At 37.5% G+C, this 21,234-nt stretch overlaps 1 protein-coding gene across 11 annotated transcripts in view, besides 1 other annotated feature; it reads left to right on the forward strand.

Moving 5' to 3' along the window:
* Window positions 1–21,234, forward strand: part of RFC3 (replication factor C subunit 3) — a 159,229-nt gene that overhangs the window by 110,833 nt on the left and 27,162 nt on the right. For 3 of the 11 annotated variants that reach the window (XM_017020680.3, XM_047430489.1, XM_047430490.1), the window contains one exon: window positions 1–21,234. This exon is cut by the window's left edge; it is cut by the window's right edge and continues 13,681 nt beyond it. The exons of 5 other annotated variants lie outside the window; for them this stretch is intronic. Coding sequence is in view for 2 of the 6 variants with exons in the window: in XM_017020682.3 (XP_016876171.1) it covers window positions 13,272–13,274 (3 nt within the window). In the remaining 4 variants the exon portion in view is untranslated. 3 more of the 11 variants (XM_017020682.3, XR_007063695.1, XM_047430492.1) reach the window with 3 other exon arrangements.
* Window positions 11,805–12,304: an enhancer, noted in NCBI's record as "H3K27ac hESC enhancer chr13:34514923-34515422 (GRCh37/hg19 assembly coordinates)". NCBI's record gives its function as "activates a minimal SCP1, AML or CMV promoter by ChIP-STARR-seq in naive H9 embryonic stem cells {active_cell/tissue: H9 hESC(naive)}" and the evidence as "EXISTENCE:reporter gene assay evidence [ECO:0000049][PMID:30033119]".

A 21,234-nucleotide genomic window follows, 5' to 3' on the forward strand; every position in this document is an offset into this window, starting at 1 on the left:
TCAAAATCTATTTGGCCTTTGCCCATTCTAAAATGGACAAATAATTTTTTTCTTTTTTTTCCAGATTTTATTTGAAACCATAGATTAAAAGGATTTAAAGGAGGGCTACCTAGTTGTTCGTAAAATATGTTACTACCTTTTACCTTTTTGATACTGTAAATTTACCACGAAAGGTAAAGGAAGTCTGACAGACATTCCCAGTCATGAGGAAATTATCCTAGAGAGTTGATGAGGTGGCAAGAGAAGAAGACATTGCTATCATGGCTCACAGAATATTGCCAGAGTAGTTGATGTATCTTCTTTTCCAACCACAGCCAGTACACTTGTGGGCTTTAAAAAAATTTAATTGTAGGTAATAGAAGAGTTTTGCCATCTAAATACATCGCTGACTTCATATTGCAAGTCAATGGAAAAACTATACTTTCTTTATAGAGATTTAATTAACACTAAATTTAATGGAATAATTGTGTTGATAAAGCTTACTAAAGGTTATTGAGATTTATAGATATTAAGAAAGATCATACAACTTCATATAGCTCCCAAATATTTCAAATGTGATATTCATGTAATGTCCTTAGGAATTTCTTTTTCTGGTAAATGTCATGTCATTTTAATTCATTACAAAATATTTTGAAATATGGAAAAATTTTAAACTTACCTATAATTTTCTCTATAAATGAACAGTGCTAACATTTTGGTAGATGCATGTTTATTATATTTTATACAGTTGAACTCATAATATATTTTCAATTCAATATTCTGCATTTTCATAAGTAATTTTCTGAACTTTCCCCTATATTATTATAATTTGACAATTGGATTATTTCCAATTTATGCTATTAGAAATAAAGTTAAGGTAAACATTTTTATGAATCTTTGTGTGTATTTCTGTTCATCTCTTTAGAACAGAGACCCGGAATAAATTCTCGAGTCAGAAAGATTAAGCATTTTAAAGTTCTTAATGTAGCTTGCCAACTTTCCTTTTGAATATTTGTGATAATTTGATACTTATATTTTTAGCATTGAGTGTTACTGTTTTTCCTAATCTCTGACTATTTAATAAATACTGAATTGTATAGCTTTATTTTTCTTTTATTACTAAAGAGACTTAATTCTTTCATCTATTAGCTAATTCATCTATCAGCTTGTATTAGGGTTCTCTAGAGGAACAGAACTAATAAGATAGATGTATATATGAAGGGGAGCTTATTAAGGAGTATTGACTCACATGATCACAAGGTGAAGTCCCGCAATAGGCCGTCTGCAAGTTGAGGAGCAAGGAAGCCAGTTGAAGTCCCAAAACCTCAAAAGTAGGGAAGCTGACAGTGCAGCCTTCAGTCTGTGGCCAAAGGCCTGAAAGCCCCTCAGAAACCACTGGTGTGACTCCAAGAGTCCAAATGCTGAAGAACCTAAAGTCTGATATTTGAGGGCAAGGAGCATCTAGCACAGGAGAAAGATGGAGGCTGGAAGACTCAGCAATTCTGCTCTCTCCAACTTCTTCTGCCTGCTTTATACTAGCCAGGCTGGCAGCTGATTAGATGGTGCCCACCCAGATTGAGGATGGGTCTGTCTCTCTGAGTCCACTGACTCAAATGTTAATCTCCTTTGGCAACACCCTCGCGGACACACCCAGGAATAATACTTTGCATCCTTCAATCCAATCAAGTTGACACTCAGTATTAACCATCACATAGCTCTTTTAATCTCCTCTTCTGTGAATTGTCAACTCCTGACCTTCAAACACTTTCCTGTTGATGATCTGGAAGTTTTCTTACTAATTATATGTATCGATGTAACGTACTAATGGTGATAAAATGAACAGCTTGGGGCAAAATTTAGGGATAGATAAACCTCAAGCTTGTTATAATCAGTATGATCCCTGCCTTTCTCTCTTCCTTTAGTTCTTTTGGAAAATGGTCACCATCATTTGGTATAATCTATCATTTCTTAATATATTTCTAAGGCATCTAGGTGATATATTACATTCTCTCCCTTTTTCTTAGAGTTTTTTTTAGTGACAGCTTATGATTGGGGCAAATTTAGAGTTGAAGTGTTTCAATGTGTCTTTACATGATATGTAGGACTTAGATGCTATTAATGTTCTCACCTTTGATTTATGGATCCTGGATCTTGGACATATTGAATTGTAGAAAATTTCCCAGAAAGCAACATAGTGAGAATATCCAGATCAAAATAGAATTTTCAAGAGCTGATGTTACATGCTGCTCACGATGGCAATGAAAGTACAGTTGAACCAAGAAGTCATGGATTTAGTTGTAATGTGGATGGTAGTTCGTTTCATCTAAACCAGTGGTTCTCAGACTTTAGCACACAACAGCATTGCCTAGAGGGGCTGTTAAACACAGGAGCGGGTCCCCACCCTGGAGTTTTTGTTTCTGTATAGGTCTGGTGTGGATACCGTGATGCTGATGCTTTTGGTCTGGGGACAACACCTTGAGACCACTGATCTAAGCCATCTGGGGGCTGAGTGTGAGACAAGATATTACCTTTTTCCATGGTGTAGACTCATATCATGAGATGTGTAAATTCTAAAATCTTGCGAACAGGAGACCAAAATTACTGTCACAGTGTGGGGGTCCAACAAAGATATAATGTTACCTCCAGGGGGTGCCATTTCCTTGTGAATGACTGCCTTAGAAGTTGTGTATAAGGTACATGACCATACAGAGGCCCTGAAGTCTGGTAGTGGAAATACATTTTCCTTTGTGATATCTGATGTTACTTTTAAACATGGAAAGTCCTCCTCCCTTTCCTCTAAGAGTCTCCTACCTGCAATCTAAAGATCAAATTTATAGTCACCTACGTTTGCTTTTTTTAATGAATTCTTTTTAACACCTTCATTATAAAGTCAAATTCTGTTCATGTATTCTGTGAGGTGATGATTAAAACAGCATATTATTTTCCTAAGTGACAATTTTCTCCATACTTTTTGAATATACATTTGTTTTTCATTCACTGATGGTGGAATCTTTCTCGTATGTTGTGTGTGTGTGTTTGTATTCTGAGACTATTTATATTGCCTTTGTTGTGCTAGTTCATTAATTCTACAAATGCTTACTATGTTCCAAGCACTGCAGAGATATCAGTATGAATGAAACAGTCATGAATAAAACACATGTGGACTCTGCCAGCATGAAATTTACCATCTCAATAGTCTGTTCCATTGTTCATCTGTCTATTCTAGCTCAAGCATCACATTAGTTTTAATTGTCGTAGCTAAAGAACACATTTTAATCTGCTGTAGAGAAATTATTCCTTAATGCCATTAAAAAAGTTAGTAATTTTTGTCTATTTATTCTTCTTAATATACCTTGGAATAATTTTTTCAGAAATTCAAAAAGGGGAAGAAAACTCTTTGTGACTTTCATTGGAATTGTCTTGCAGTATATTTTGGGAAGAATTGATATCTTTTATAAAACAGTTTTCCCTCCCAAACCATTTTTGTATGCCTTTATTTATTGGGATCTTCTTTCATATCTCTGTATTATAAAATAACATGCAAGTACTAAAATGTGTTAGTCTGCTGAATTTTTTGGAATGCTTTTTATCAGCAATATGAGAAATTCCATGAAACTGTAGAACTGGGCCCACAAGGAAGGAATGAGGCTTGAGGTTATCAAACAGAGAAGGGAAAGTACAGAGAAAGAATTACTCTAAAGCAAAAACAGTAGGAAAATTTTTATGTTATCAAGATAGTCATGTAAAATAATGCATGGTCCACATGCATAAACCACATCCAATGCTAGTCTATGTATTTTTTCTTGAAATGTCTGTTTCTCTTGCAAAGTATATTGCCATATAAGTTTTAAACAGTGAGGACATCAGTCTCTGAGCAATATTCCTGACATTGTGACAACAACGACTGGCTTTTGCTGTACATGTTTGCAAACATTGGTTGAGACTTGTAGGCTGACAGCCTAAATGGACAATATGTCCATAATCTGCATGCCAACTGGCACATGCTGATAACATCTGACAGGCCACTCTTGTCAAAGCTTTTGAACACCTAATAAATACAATTATACCCCCTTTACCCTTTGAAAAATCTGAGATACTGGTTTTTCCCTTTGAGTTACAGATGGTGATATCATAAGAGCTTTGAGACAGCTGCTCAGCCTCATTGATGCAAATGCTTATGGCAAACAATACATTCTTCAGATCTGTGGTCGTCTTTCTTTTTTCTTTTCCTGCTTGCTAATGCCGAGCTGATGATGCAGAATATGGACCTCAGTTGCAATTTTAGTATTAGAGGTCAGAAAACACATAGAGATCTGGGTGAACAAAGAATGTGCAATAACCACATTTTACCTGTCCTACATTGTTTGGGAATGAGCTCCTATTGTGTTAAAATGAACTGCTGGTCAGTGCTGTGGAAACAATTTATCCCAAGAACTTATTATTGGCTTAGTGATTGTTTTTTGTTATCATGGGTTCTATAGCCACTGCTATGATTGGGTTAGATGCTCATTTCCTTTAACTGTGATGTTTTAAGAAACCCTAGCTTAGGTGAATATAATTGTTACCATTTATAATAGTAGGTTAGATTCTCATCTTCTCTGTCTCCGTGTAACAAAGATAATAAATCGAGATGATAAAATTTAATAATGTACAAAGTATTTCATTGTTAGTGATGCATTTTCAAATGATGACCTGTGAAATTGAAAATAAGAAGGGAGAAACTTTTTTTCCCCTCTCCTATTAAGGATCACTGACCGGCTTGGAAAAAAAAAATCCCAAGTCATGTAAAAGGAAAATAATTTGTTTGCATTTATATTTTTATTAAGAGAGAGAAATATAAACAACTAAAGATATTCTTTTAAAGTTAAAATTTGGGGTTTTAAAGTTTCATTGGCTAACTACGTTAAATTAAGAGAAATATGTAATTTAATGTGAGAGTAACAGGAGACTGCAGGATTGGGGGAGGGAGATGAATGGTATGGGGGAGGGCGAGACTGGCAGACAGAGACTGCAGGGAAACTAGAGGAGAGAGGAGAAGGTGGTGGGGAAAAAAAGGGAAATGAAAGAAAGGAAAGAGAAATTAAATGTTTAATAATAGAGCCAAAGGACAAAGAAAAGAGCATGTAGGAGGATGGCGTGAGCTCAGGAGTTTGAGCTTGAGCTCAGGAGTATGTCAGCCTGGGCAACATAGCAAGACTTCATCTCTACTAAAAGAAAAAAAAAAAATCTGGGTGCAATGGTGAGCACTTACAGTTCCAGCTACTTGGGAGTCTGAGGTGGGAGGATGGCTTGATTCTTGGAGGTTGAGTCTGCAGTGAGATGAGATTGTGCCACTGCACTCCAGCCTGGGTGACAAAGTGAGACCCTGTCTCAAAAATGAAAACAAAAACAAAAAACAATAATTGATAGAAGGAAGGTGATAAGGGCACATGATGAGACAGTAAGAGGGAGAAGGAAGCAACTGCAACTGGAACTAAAAAGAGAAATGCTTAGAGGGCTTTCCAAGCTCTGAGATGACTGTGTGTCTTGGCTTGGGTTCCTATCTTGTTTCCCTGGATGTCCGAATCAGTTACTACCAGATCCTCTGACAGCCCAGCCTGGGAGTCTCTTCTTTCTATAGCTGGTGTCCCAGATTCCCAGTTGCTTATTACTATAACCTTGGTCTTTATGGTCAATGCTGACCCCACCTGGACTCGGCAGCCACCAGTCTTGCCTCTTGCCTAGCCCTGATTTTGTGTTTCATTTTCTGTCATTGGGTCTATCTGGTTTTTGTTTTGTTTTGTTTTCCTATGCCAAGCATCTGTCTTTGGTAATCTCCCTACTACTTTTTTCTTTCTAAATGCAAGGTATTCCCTTTCTCCTATAAGCGTCTCTTCTGAGCCTGGGAACCTTTGACTGCAGCCCAAGCCCCATGTCCTATATCCAGTGCTCTCATGATGGGAACCATCAGCCTGGATGGCCGAATCCCCCCATTCCTGATGGTCTGCTCACATTGTGATGCACCCTGCTGAACCTGTCATGAAGACTGCCTGAAACTCTACATTATGGATATTTTGGCTGACTTCCTTGTTTGGAAAGTCTTATTTGGTTACCAGATAACTGGATCATGTCAAGGTCCAAAAATATGTCAATTTTTCCTTTGAAATGTTATAATATATTATTTTCTGCCTTGAGATTTTTTTTTTCAAATGTCAAGGGGGCAGGGACAATGTTTTAAATAAACTTTCCATTGAGATTCTGGAAATGATTATGAGGAAACAACTGAGGTTTTAGAAATGTAACTGGAAAATGTAAAAATGCCATCAACTTCCTAGTTATTCCCAAAAGTCTCTTTGACATTGAAATGATGCCAAAAATATATCATGTTTGTTCTTTGAGAAATTAGAGCTCTCTCATTCCATAATGCAAAAAAGTTGTACTTGCAAATAATATCCCAAGCTGCTTGCTAGAGATTGGATGAAATTAAATAGCTGCTGATCTGAAGTCATTTCATGTCTGACTTGTGAGTACAAGTGTTGGGCACAATTGAAGTTTTCTTTCTAATTAAAAATTAGGCTTTTTTTCTTTCATAATCAACTTACTGTCTGTAGTGGTTCACATAATTGCTGGTAGCAGCACTTTCCATTGATCCTAATTTGTGGAAGGTTGTAAGATGAGAGAACTTAGATTTTCACCATAATTCACCTTTAAATAAAAAAGAGGTAATATAAAACCTTGTTTGGTTTGTTTCTGAAACTTTTGTTCCTTTGCTCATCCTGTCACTCATGAGCATGTTCTGATTGACTTTGTGGGAAGAGGACACAGCATTAGCATTTCACCTGGTCTGTTAGGAACAAACAAAAAAACCAACCAATCAACAATGTCTTAAGAATACTTGACAAAACTTAAATCTATGGCTGAATCTACATAATTATGTTAGAATGACCTGGTAGGGGAAAATGTGCTGGGCCTAAAGTGTTGTTTCACAGCTCAAGCTGCTGCATGAACAGCATGGGCAGGTCCCCTGAATGACATGCTGGGAGCTATGTATGGCTCCGGGTCCACTGAGCTGGTCTCATCTTCCCCTTATGAGAGCGATGGTATGACAGGTGCAGTGTGTGCACTTGTATGGGATGACGGGTTGGGGTGACTGCAGGTGAAGGAGGCAGGAAGAAGCAGAAAGCCTTGGTCTTATGCATACTGCCCCCAAGGTGTGGAAGCCACAGGTGGTCATTATTATGAAATCTGGGAAGTGTAATCACTGGGCAGATCATAATAACAGGTAACCCAGGTGGCAGGTGAGGGTTACTATCAGGTGGGCACAGTGGCTTTGGGAGACAAGACCGTTAACCCCTAGATTGGACTTAGAGGAGATCCTAGGGGTGGATTTGTATGGAGTAATTTTCCTAGACTAAATTACTATTTAGTTATAACCATGGATGCTATTATGGGTTGAATTTTGTACCCCCCAAAATACATAAAAGTTGCAAACCCCAGTACCTGTGAATGTGACTTTATCTGGAAATAAGGTCCTTGAAGATGAAATTAGTTAAGGTGAGGCTATTAGGATAGGACCTAATCCAATATGACTGAAAAAAGGGGAAAATTTGTCCATAGAGTTGGAAGCACACACAGGGAAAACAGCACGTGAGGATAAAAGCAGAGACTGGGGTGATGCATCTGCAAGCCCCAAAGAATATAAAAGATTGCTAGCAAATTACCAGAAGCCAGGAGAGAGCCCTGGAACAGATTTCCCCTCAAAGTCCTTAAAAGGAAGCAATCCTGCCGACATCTTGATCTCGGACTTCCTTCAGAACTGTGAGGCAGTAAACTTCAGTTATTGTGAGCCATTCAATTTCTGGTACAGTTATGGCACCCATAAAGAATGAATACAGGTGCTAGAGGATTGGAGGTTTGGTTAACAGAAAATATTAGTACTAGAAGAAACCCTAGAAATTGTATAATTGACATAGGAAACACTACTGTACTGTATACTTAAAATTTCCTAAGAGATAGATCCTAAATGTTCTCACCACAAAAAATCAAGAGCAGCAGCAAAACTATGTGATGACTATGTTAATTATCTTGATTGTGATGATAACTTCATGGTGTATATGTATACTAAATCATCAGGTTGTACATCTTAAATACAGTCATGTACCATGTAATGTTTCAGATACGCGAGGGATCAGATATGTGAGAGTCGCCCCATAAGATTACAATACCATATGTTCACCTTACCTTTTCTATGTTCAGATATGTTTAGATATACAAATACTTACCATTCTGTTACAATTGCCGATAACATTCAGTACAGTGACATGCTGTACAGGCTTGTAGCCTAGGAGCAAAAGGTTAGGTGTGTAGTAAGCTATACCATCTAGGTTTATGTAAGTACACTCTACAATGTTTGTAAAATGATGAAATAGCCTAATATTGCATTTCTCAGAATGTATCTCTGTCATTAAGAGATGCATGACTTATATATACAATTTTTTAAAAAATTGTGTAGTTGAGACCTCTTATATTACCAATGAATTACTGAGGCCTAGAAAGGTCAAATGAATTAATTGCTTGAGGTCACCTAGCTAGCATGTGGCAAGTCTGAGACTAAAGCCTCTGTCTTTTGACTCTTGGTCTGTGCTTTTCCTGTACTTTTTTGCTCCTGTGCACAATTACCATGTAGCATGCGCATAGAAACACAGATTAGAAATACACAGAAGATAATCACATAACTTAGAAATGAGTTTTGAAAAGGTGTAGCCGGACTCCTTATCTAAAATTAATCTAACTGAAATTGTATTTTAGATTAACTTTGCTACTTGAAAAATGCTAAGTGGCTGCCTGAGAGCAATGAAATTTCTTCCTCTAATGTGCTCCTCAGGGCAGGTAGCCCTTATCATTGTTTTCCAAACCACTAGCCATTAACATTTGTGGGGTGCCTGTGGAGTATCTGGCTCTCCTAGTGTCTCAGCTCTCTGTACAGTCAGAGGGGTGGCAGCTTTCTGCCCTTGGTCACAAGACAATGCCCCATTGTGCTTGCTTATCCAGAAGATCAATCAGGAAGAGAAGCACGCCATGGGCTGAACTGCAGTTTCTGTTACCTGACTTAGTTTAGATGTATTTCTCCTCTCCCTCAAATCCCTCCCACTAAGTCCAAGGATGTTTGCAAATGTCCTAAGGAATATTCTAGTAGCTAGGATCTGGCATTTTCACAGCCACAGCTCAAGATAAAGTCCAACTGCAAAAAAAAAAAAAAAAAAAAAAAAGTAAGAGTTGAAAATGAAAATGACTTCAAAGCAATGAAATATAAAGTAATTGCAAGTTTGCAAATTAACTATGTTGGCATATTCTTCACTTCCTCAAGGAAATATGCTCTATCCCGTTTTTAAAAATCATAAATATATTTTTTAACTTTTTATTGGAGTTTGACACACATTCAGAAAAGTATAAAAATCATAATAATCAACCGGATAATTTTTCACAAAGTAAAAACCATGAAGAAGCAACAGATTAAGAAGCATATCATCATTTCCCAGGGATAACCACCATTCTGATTTTTAACACTATGGTGTTAAAAATCCATTTATTTGGTCTGTTTTGGAAACTTATACAAGTGGAATCATACAGTATGTACTATTTTGCTTCTGTTTTTCTCAACATTGTGTCATATATTTGTGATTTCTTCATTCTCATTGCTAAATAGTATGCCATTGTATGAATATATCACAATTCACTACATTTCAGTTTTTTTTTGCTATTACAATCAGTGCTACTATCAACATTTTTGTACATATCCTTTGGTGGACAAATGTATGCATTTCTGTTGAGTGCTTCTGAAGAGTGGAAAGCTGGGTCATTGGGGATGCATGTGTTCAACTCTGGTAGCTACAACAAAACAGTTTTCCAAAGTGATTATACAAATTTACACTCCAACTGGCAGTGTAATAAGCTCTTCAATCTTTCAGGTTTTTGCCAACAATTGGGATTTTTCAGTTAGTTTCTTTTTAACCACTCTGGTGTGTGTGTAGTGGTATCATATTAATGGTTTTGATATGCTAATTATAATGATGATTAATAAAATTGAGCATCTTCTCATGTATGTATTGATTCTGTAGATCCTCAACATGAAGGGCATGCTAAGGTGTTTTGCCTATTTTTCTGTAGGGATTTTACCATTATAATATTAATTTGTAGTTTTAAAATATATGAATATATATTTTGTGGCTTGTTTTTTCACTTGGTTAATCACATATTTTGATGAACAAATATTTTTAATTTAAATATAGTCCAATTTATCCATCCCACCTGAGTCTGTGCTAATGAGATGACTCAAGGTAGAAAGACCAAGTTGACATGAGAGTTGGAACTTTCAGGCCCTTCCACCACCCTCTGGGAAGAGTGGAGGGGAGGGAGCTGGAGATTGGGCTCAGTAAAAACTCTTGACAGTGAGGCTCAGAGAGCTTCCAGGTGGGTGAACACACCAAGGTGCTCGGAAGGTGGTGCACCCAAGAGGGTAAGGAGGCTCTCTCTGTGTGACTCCCTCGCTCTGTATCTTGCCATGTGCATTGCTTCCATTTGGTTCTTCCTGCATTGTATCCTTTATAATAAACCAGTAAATGTAAGTTTAAAAGTGTAAATAAGTAAGTTCTGTGAGCAGCTCTAGCAAAGTATTAAACCCGAGGAGGGGTGGTGGAAACACTTGCTTTACAGCTGATTCATCAGAAGTACAGGTGGCTCAGGGCTTGAAACTGGTGTCGGAAGCGGGAACAGTCTTGTCCTGTCGAGCTCCTTACTTTATGGAGTCTGTACTAACTCTGGGTAGATAGTGTCAGAATTGGATTGAAGTTTTGGACACCCAGCTAGTATCTAGAGAATCAGAGAATAGGTTGTTGGTGTCAGAGAAAACACCCCAGAGAACCAAATTGTCATAATTTTCTCTTGTCTTTTTAATATTTGTAAGATCTGAGAGGGTGCTTCTTTTGTATATTTCTGTTATCAGCAATTTATGTTCACTCTATTTTTTTCTGATCCATCTTCGTAAAAGTTTATCCATTTTATTAATACTTTGATAAAAAACTTTCATGTTACTGATTTTCTGTATTGAATAACTGGATTTTATTCCATTAATTTTTATTCCTAATTTATTGTTTTCTTCCTACTGCCTTACTTTTTATTATGGGGGAGAGTTAATTTGTTGAATTTTTATCTAAATTCCTAAATTGAATTCTTACATCATTAATTTTGAACCTTTCTTCTGTTTTAATATGTTAATCAAATGTTATAATTTTTTTTCTAAGTATGACTTCAACTGCCCTCCACAAATTTTATTATATCTGATATTTACTATCAGGTTCAAAAATTATTTGTTTTTTCATTGCAACTTATTCTTGATCCATGGAACAATTTAAGATTATGTTGCCTCATTGCCAGACACATGGGGATGATTTCATCAGAGAATATTCTCTGGATAGTTTTGGTTCTTCAAAAATTTGCTTTATAGCCCAGCATGTTGCTAATTTTGGTAAATGTTACATGTGCGTGTGAAAAGCATGCATATTCTCCAGTTGATGTGCATAGTAGTCTGTATATACCAAGTGTGTCAAGTATGTTCATCATGCTGTTGTCATAGCCATTATCTTACTATAATGTTTCTGTTGAAGTCATCAAATATTTTTATGTTTTTATTTCAATTTCTATTACCTTGTCTGTCATATCTTATTTTATTGTTATTTAATGCTTACCCTGACTTACCGTAGTCTAATAAAATTACTTTCATCAATTCTCTGATCATGCTGAAACCTTACAATAGTTTAGAAACCTTATAATAGTTTAGAAACCTTACAATAGTTTAACCCCATTCATCTACATTCTGCCTCTCACATTATTGCCATCATATATTTTTATTACGTTATGAACTCTGTAGCACGTTACTATTATTGTTTTGTATAGCCAACTTTAATTTATATTTATCCACATATTTACAACTTTCTGCTGAGACAGCCAAATGCCTGGGCAGATAAAAATGGGTCCCCAGAGAATCTCCGACCCAACCCACAAGTGTTTACATCAGATGCTTTTGTGCAGATGAGGAAACCTGCCCAGGGTTTTGTCAGGGCATGCCCACAGTGGATGGGAGCTGGACATGCGTACTGAGGGAAGTGGATGGAGCTATGGGGAATTCCTGCCTTAAGCAGGGGAGGAGGCTGTTCTCTTCAGCAGGGGTAGTAACCTGGGAATCAGTCTGTGAGGAGGCGGGCCTGTTAGCAGGACTCCGTCTCACTTTCCTGAGAGATTTTTTTTTTTTCCTTTTTGCCCAATACATTCCTCTCTAATCACCCTTCAATGTGTCTGCGCACCTAATCCTTTCTGGTCATATGACAAGAACCTGGTTTTTTCTACAACACTGCCACCCTTTATTCCTTCTTGCATTTTGTGTTTCTGTTTAGGAATATTCTCCTTTAGCCTAAGGAATTTCCTTTAGTAATTATTTTAGGAAAGTCTGATGGTGGTGAATTTTCTTAATTTGTATTTGTCTGCAGCATATTCATTTTACCTTTGTTTCTGAAGGTTATTTTCAATTGCTATATTATTCTAGTTTGGCACTTTGTTTTTGGCACCATAAATATATACTTTTATTGTCTTTTAACTGCCATTGTTTCTGTCAATAAACCAGCCCAATCTTGTTTTCTTTCTTCGAAGCTGCCTGTTTTCTTTGGCTATCTTTAAGATTTTTCTATCTTTGGTGTTTAACAGTTTGCAATTATGTGACTAAGTGTAGATTTAAGGTTTTTTTTTTCTTCTTAGTGTTTATGAAACTTCTTGAATGTATGGGTTGAGAGCCTCCATCCGATTTTGAAGATTATAGGCAAACATCTCTTCAATATTGCTTCCACCTCATTCTTTGTGTTATCAATTGAGGACACTGATCATGTGTATTTTAGAATTTTTAAATATCTCCCATACATAACTTATGTTGTTTTATACATTTTAAAATGTTTTTATCCTTTAATTTGCATATTTTCTATCTTCCTGTTCAGTAATATCATTTGTTCAGGGGAGCCCAATCTAATGATCTGTTGAATTGTCAATTTTAGATAAAATTTCTATTTGATTTTTAAAATATTGTCTACTTTTTCTCTAAAATTCTCTTATCTTTTTTTGTACATTAATTATAGCTGTTTTAAAGTGTGTGTTTGATAAATCTAATGCCTGCATCACTTGTTGGTTTGTTTCTGTATCCTATTTTATATTCTTAATAATGCTTCTTGGTATGCATTGTAATTTTTTTGCCTTTTATTTTTGTTTTTTAGTAACTAATATTAGCAACAATAATGACTAATGGCCTGAAGACTGAAGGTATTATTTTATTTTATTAATTTTTATTTTTAATTCTTACGAGTACATAATGGTTGTCTATATTTACGGGGTACATGCGATGCTTTGATACAGGCATACAATGTATAATAATCAAATCAGGGTAATTGGGGTATCCATTGCCTCAAGCCTTTATCATTTCTTTGTGTTAGGAACATTCCATACTTTTTAATTTAATGCTAAGGTACATTATGCACTTAGAGTTTCAACATCAATGGCAGTGGGCTCATCCATATTTCACATACTCTTCTTAATTGTTTCACCCTTTTTTACAGACTTCCTGTGATGTCTGATTAAACTCTTGTAGTTTTATACCATAATAAGTTTATAAACAATACAGGAGCAGAATAAATATCAGCACCATTATTGTTGTTTTGGGGTACATGGTACTAATTCATAGATCCTCCTGCTATTTGAATGATAGGGTAATTAACATCTTATTTTTTTTTTATCACGTTAGCTGTATACTTGTAGTCAATTTATGTAGTGAGTAGATTGAATTGGAATGCCAATGGTTCTAAATTCCCTGGAGAAAATCTTGAGAAGTCTGGTGCCCACCTTTAGCAGTTGGCCTGTTCCAATGACATGAAACCTTGACTGCTAAGGTGCCATAAAGCAGAGCTGTTTCTGCCTTGGTGAATGGAGTGAGGCATAGGAAACACCTTCAGAGTGGCTCCCATCAATAATCATTGGAGAATTTCATAATTTTGATTGTCAAGGTCAATATGTGGTTGTTTCCATAATTTTAGTCAAGGCCTTTAACAAAAAATAGCATGTGAACTAGTATGTTTATTAATGACATTTCATAATTTACTTTAGCATTCATTTTTCATTGATGGGCAGGGATAAGCCCTGCCTTAGATTCTGCAAGTTTCTGAGGCATCTTGCCTCAGAAATAGACCTAGGGTCTCTATTTTAAGCATATTACATATGTTAACTTCTTTTAACTTCATAACACGGCATAAGGTATGTACTATTTTTATTTCTAGCCTACAGGAAATAGAAGCCTGTACTAGTTTTCTGTTGCTGCTTAATAGATTACCACAAACTTACTGACTTAAAACATCATACATATTTTCTATCTCACATTTACATGGTCAGGAGTCTGAGCATGCCCTACCTACATGGTTTTTGCAAGGTTTCACAAAGCTGTCTAGAAGTGAAGATTAGGAATGTTTCCAGCACAAAGACATGATGAATATTTGAGGTGAAGGATATCCTAATTACCACGATTTGATCATTATGTATTGTGTGCATGTGTTCAAATATCACATGCACCCTATAAATATGTACAATTAATACGTATCAGTCAAAAATAAAAGATGTTGGATGGGGCTGAAATTCCATCTTAGGCTTGTAGTCCTCTTCCAAGTTCACATGGCTGTTGGCAGAATTTATTCTCTTGAATCTGTAGAACTCATGGGGGGCTTGCTTCTTTTTTGAGGCCAGAAGGAGATTCTCTTATTTTGATTAAAGTCAACTGATTAGAACTTTAATGATATCTGAATAATCCCTTGACTTTTACCATATTGTATTGGTTAGAAGCAAATTCGCAGGTTCTATTGGGCAGAAGCAAGCTTTCAAGGGGAGGTAAACATACAAGGGCATGAGTCATTGGCTGTCAATTTAGGGTATGTCTTTTACAAAGCCCCCCAAAATTAATTGACCTGCTTCTAGTCAGTATTGGTAGAGGGTAAGATTTGACTCCAAGCTGCTTGGCCCTAGAGCATAAGCACTTTGTTGCTTACTTTCTCAGGGTTATCCATTCTCATACACTGCAGCCTGAGAAAGGATTGATAGGAATTTGTTTGCAGACATTCAAGATCATGTATTTTGTGTATTTGTGTCCTCTATTCATTTGGTTGTTATGAACTCTCTATATAAACTACCCTTCTACTTTCTGTGACAAGTGACATCCTTTTTCTTGTGCAATTAAAAGTGCTAAATTTATTTCAATCCAAAACACATCCTTTGCAAATCCCTACATTTGTAATATTGAACAAAGTGAGCAGCTATGCCATTTAAGTAACAATTCCTTCCAACGCTGCTCATTATATGTGTGAAATTTAAATCTTTGATCAATGAGTGATGACGATGAGTGTGCTGTTGATAATGCTCTGAGAGCATCTACTTTTAGGTGAAGGAAAGAATGCAAGGATGTGGAACCCATTTAGTCACACATATGTTTAAGCCCTAGAAACTGTTGGTTATGTGGTTCATTTGCGATCACCATCCTCTATTCTGCTTGTTTTAAACACGGGATGAAAATCTTTCAACACAAGAATTTTGTGAAGTCACAGACTGACCCTTGAAAAATACCAGTAATCAGCCATTTAAAAATACATTTAAATCATTTTGTTTGAGTTCAAGGTGCAGGAATCTTCAGTTTTGCGACTAAAGTTAGCACTTGAGAATGGAATTGTATTGCCCCACCCACACGCACACACTCAAATTTCCACATATTCCTTTCTTTTTGCCAAGAGATGAGAAGATATTGCCCTGGATATTCAAGGAAACAGTGGGGGCAAATGCAACAGCAACAGTCCATGATTGGTACAAGAAACTTCAGATTAACCCCTTGGAAACAACCAGAAGACTTAACTCAGCATCTCAGAAAGATCAAAATCATTGTCATAGAGCCAAAGGGCTCCCAGGCATAACACATTTTTGTTTTTGTTGTTATTCCTCTCATCTTGAGTTTCTGAGACCTATTTCCTCCTCAGATCCCGGCTAATCTGTTAGCCTTGTCAGCTCTTGCCCTGTGGATCAGACTCCTCCCATTTCTCTGCCTTGTTGATTAACATCCTGCTTTCTGATCCCAGCTCATCTCTATGGCCTTTGCCTCATATTCTTTCATACTATTATTTCCATTTTAACCATTATATTCTAATTCTGTAGTGTGATTGGGAAAACCATTGGCAAGAAAGATACAAAAATAGAGCCCTAGGGTTAAGGTTATGTCCTTATGATTTTCCATATTCATATAGTACTTAGCACTTCATACATGTTAACTCATGAGACTTCAAAATATCCTTACGAGGGATTCTGATTCTTAGATACAGTTTGCAAATTAAGGAAGATAAATATATATAGAAAAAAACACAATAGTAACAAACTTGACAGGAGAGGATTAACTTCTGGGAGCACAAAGTGGAGTTCTTGGCCTGAGCCCACAGCTCCAGGAAACTTCAATGAACTGAAAATGGCCTGTCTGGGTAACGAGGCTCTGTACATCTCTCTTCACCCTAAAGTTGAGTCAGTGAGGCATTATGATGTTTTTAATTTCTCAAGTGATATTAAAATACAGACCCACAGACCCCATCTGTTCTCTTGGAAGCAGAGAGATTGGCAAATGATAACACTACATGCCTTTAGGGATATACGCTGCCTGATAATCACCATGTGGTTTCAACTAGTTCACGCTCAGATGAACCTGATATGAATTTAGAAAGGGCAAACACTCCTAATGAGATGGTATATTCTTGACTTACTATTTTAAACAGCACCTTCTTCCTACTACCTGCAAACACCACATTTGTATCCCTTTCTAAGGCGGGACATCTTGGAGTCATCTTTGTTTCCTCTTTCCATTTATCTTCTATATATCCAGATGGAGAATCTTATGGTTTCTTTGTGATATGCCTTTTGCTTTCTGATCTTACTGCCATCACTTGAGTTCAAACCTTCAGTATCTCATCTGGAGCGCTGCTCTGTCGGCCTAGGAAATGGCTCTGACTCTGGTTCTCTCCACTTGGATAATCTCATGTTGCCTGGGGAATGTTTCTAAAATGGCCAATAGGAGAATCCCTGTCTGTAGAGTACAATTGCTGTGTTTGCCTTCCCAGTAGCACTTTCCCATTATTCTTTTAATAACACCCCACATTTTAAGAAGCGACTTATTACAGCACTGTTTTTTCCTTCCATCGTTATCAAATAAATGTTCCTGTGATCCAAACCAGCTCAACCATTGTCAAGACACATGACTCAGGCAGTCTAATTGGAATGTGCCCTGGGATTACTGGGATTGCTGTATACATTGGTATACAGCAGTAGTTTCCAGACTTTTTTCTTTCAGAAACTCTTTTTACTCTTAAAAGTTATTGAGGACTCCCAAGAGCTTTTGTTAATGTGGCTTCTATCTGTACATTTCCATATTATAAATTAAAAATGATAAATACATTTATTATTTCATTTAAATACAAAATAGTAAACCCTTTACATGTTAACGTAAATAAAATACTTTTAAGCATATAACTTTTCTAAAATGAAAATATTTTGTGAGAAAAATGGCATAGTTTTATATTTTTGTAAATCTCTTTAATAATTACCCTAATAAACAAATCTACTGCACATGCAGTTCATAAAATATGTTGCTACGGATGAAGTGTATGAAGAAAATCTGGCCTCACAGATGTGTAGTTGGAAAAGGGAGAATCATTTTAATAGTCTTTATAGATATTATGGATATTATTCTTTGAGACTATACTAAAACTTGACAAGTGGCAGTTTCCTAAAGGTTAGTTGCAATGTGAAATCTGAAACCATGTCGGTGAGCTTTTTGTACGCAGCTATAATAAAATCTGTTGGCAGTTTGTACAGATCTTTTACATGTTCATGATTTCATTTGGAAATGCACTGATTATTTGGAAAGTATACGTTCATCAAGATATGCATATCTGCTAAATGATGACATGTGTTCATTTTATGATGTCTTAAACCACATTTAGTAACATCACCAGTGACCTCATCTGAAAATTGGGATACCATCAAGCTTATAATGCAACATACATGTTGATATGGTTTGGCTCTGTGTCCCCACCCAAATCTCACTTTGAATTGTAATAATCCCCAAATGTCAATGTGTCAAGGGTAGGACCAGGTGGAGGTAATTGGACCATGGGGGTGATTTCCCCTATGCTGTTCTCATGATAATGAGTGAGTCTCATGAGATCTGATGGTTTTATAAGCATCTGGCATTTTCCCCTGCTTGCACTTATTCTCCTGCTGCCCTGTGAAGAGGTGCCTTCTCTCATGATTGTAAGTTTCCTGAGGCCTCCTCAGCCATGCGAAACTATAAGTCAATTAAACCCCTTTTCTTTATAAATTACCCAGTCTCTAGCAGTTCTTTATAGCAGCGTGAGAATGGACTAATACAGTAAATTGGTACTGAGAGTGGGGTGCTGCTATAATGATACTCAAAAATGTTGAAGCGACTCTGGAACTGGGCAACAGGCAGAAATTGGAACAGTTTAGAAGGCTCAGAAGAAGACAGGAAAATGTAGGAAAGTTCAGAACTTCCTAGCTTGGAGGACTCAGAAGACAGGAAGATGTGAGAAAGTTTGGAACTTCCTAGAGACTTGTTGAATGGCTTTGGTCAAAATGCTGATAGTGATATGGACAATGAAGTCCAGGCTGAGGTGGTCTCAAAAGGTGATGAGGAACCTCTTGGGAACTGGAGCATAGGTGACTCGTGCTATGCTTTAGCAAAGACACTGGTGGCATTTTGGCCCTGTCCTAGAGATCTGTGGAACTTTGAACTTGAGAAGGATGATTTAGGGTATCTAGCAGAAGAAATTTCTAAGTGGCAAAGCATTCAAGAGGAAGCAGAGCATAAATGTTTGGAAAATGTGCAGCCTGGCGATGTGATAGAAAAGAAAACCCCATTTTCTTGGGAGAAATTCAAGTTTGCTGCAGAAATTCGCATAAGTAATGAGGAGTGAAATGTTAATCACCAAGACAATGGGGAAAATGTCTCCAGGGCATGTTAGAGACCTTCATGGCAGCCCCTTCCATCACAGACCGAGACCTAAGAGGTAAAAATGGTTTTGTGGGCTGAGCCCAGGGACCCCCTGCTCCATGCAGCCTTGGGACATGGTGCCCTGTGTCCCAGCTGCTTCAGCTCTAGCTGTGGCTAAAGGGGCCAAGGTACAGCTCAGGCCATTGCTTCAGAGGGTTCAAGCTTTAAGCCTTGGTGGCTTACCTGTGGTGTTAGGCCTGTGGGTGCACAGAAGTCAAGAATTGAGGCTGGAGAACCTCTGCCTAGATTTCGGAGAATGTATGGAAACGCTTGGATGTTCAGGCACAAGTTTGCTTCATGGGTGGAAACTTCATGGAGAACCTCCACTAGGGCAGTGTGGAAAGTAAATGTGCGGTTGGATTCCCCCAAAGTCCCCACTAGGGCACTGCCTCGTGGAGCTGTGAGAAGAGGGCCACTGCCCTCCAGACCCCAGAATTATCAATCCACCAACAGCTTGCCCTGCATGCCTGGAAAAGCCTCAGACACTCAATGCCAGTCTGTGAATTCAGCCAGGAGAGGGGCTGTACCCTGCAAAGCCACAAGGGTGGAGCTGCCCAAGGCCATGGGAGCCTACCTCTTGCATCAGCATGACCTGGACGTGAGACATGGAGTTAAAGGAAATCATTTTGAAACTTTAAGGTTTAATGACTACCCTATTGGATTTTGGACTTGCATGGGGTCTGTAGCCCCTTTGTTCTGGTCAATTTCTCCCATTTGGAATGGGTGTATTTACTCAGTGCCTGTACCCCCATTGCATCTAGGAAGTAATTAACTTGCTTGTGATTTTGCAGGCTCATAGGCAGAAGCAACTTGTGTTGTCTCAGATAAGACTTTGGACTTGGACTTTTGGGTTAATGCTGGAGTGAGTTAAGACTTTGGGGGACTGTTGGAAGGACATGATTGTGTTTTGAAATGTGAGTACATGAGATTTGGGAGGGTCAGGGGTGGAATGATATGGTTCATCTCTGTGTCCCCATCCAAATCTCACCTTTCCCCACGTGTCAAGTGTGGGAACAGGTAGAGGTAATTGGAGCATGGGGGCAGTTTCCCCCATGCTGCCCTCATGATAATGAGTGAATCTCACAAGATCTGATGGTTTTATAAGTGCCTGGCATTTTCCCCCACTTGCACTCATTCTCTCTCCTGTCACCCTGTGAAGAAGTGCCTTTTGCCATAATTGTAAGTTTCCTGAGGCCTTCTCAGTGATGCGGAACTGTGAGTCAATTAAACCTCTTTTCTTTATAAATTACCCAGTCTCAGGCAGTTCTTTATAGCAGCCTAAGAACAGACTAATACACGTTTTCCAAAATCAGCAATTAGAAAGCTAAAAATTTATCATTTACGTTAAGCACCGTACTCAATTCTGAATAACAATAGTTTATGTATTGGTTATTCTTTCAAATTAAAATAGTATTCCATGCAAATGTGGCTCACAACTCAAACATTTGGCTGAGTGCTTTTCCTCATGACATGATTGTACTGTGGTGTGCAGTAGAAGTCCTTTAGGTGCACGTGATGATTAATTTTATGTGTCAACTTGATTAGGCCGCAGAGTGCCCAAATATTTGGTCAAATATTATTCTGGGTTTTTCTGTGAGGGTGTTTCTGGATAAAATTAACATTTGAATAGGTAGACTGAATAAAGCAGATTGTCTTCCCTAATGGGGTTGAGCCTCATCCAATAAATTGAAGACTTGAATAGAACAAAAAGACTGACCTTTCCAGGTAAGAGAGAATTTCTCTTACCTGACAGCCTTCAAATTGAGACATAAGCTTTTTTCCTGCCTTTAAACTCAAGCTAAAATATTGGCTTATCCTGGGTCTCAAGCCTGCTGGCCTTGGGATTGAAACTAAACCAGGAGCTTTCCTGGGTCTCCAGCTTCTGACTGCAGATCGTGGGACTTGCCTGTCTCTCTCTGCTTTCTCTCTCTCTTTCTCCCTCTCTCTCTCTCTCGCTCTACACACACACACACACACACACACACACACACACCCCGTTATGGTTTGGTTTCTCTGGAGAAACCTAGTACAGTGCACTTCCCATTTAATTCCATAGAATATTAAAAATTCATGTACTTTGAGTTTAGATTTGATAAAATTAA

Source organism: Homo sapiens, chromosome 13 (assembly GCF_000001405.40).
Source record: "Homo sapiens chromosome 13, GRCh38.p14 Primary Assembly".
Classification (NCBI taxonomy): Eukaryota; Metazoa; Chordata; class Mammalia; order Primates; family Hominidae; genus Homo; species Homo sapiens.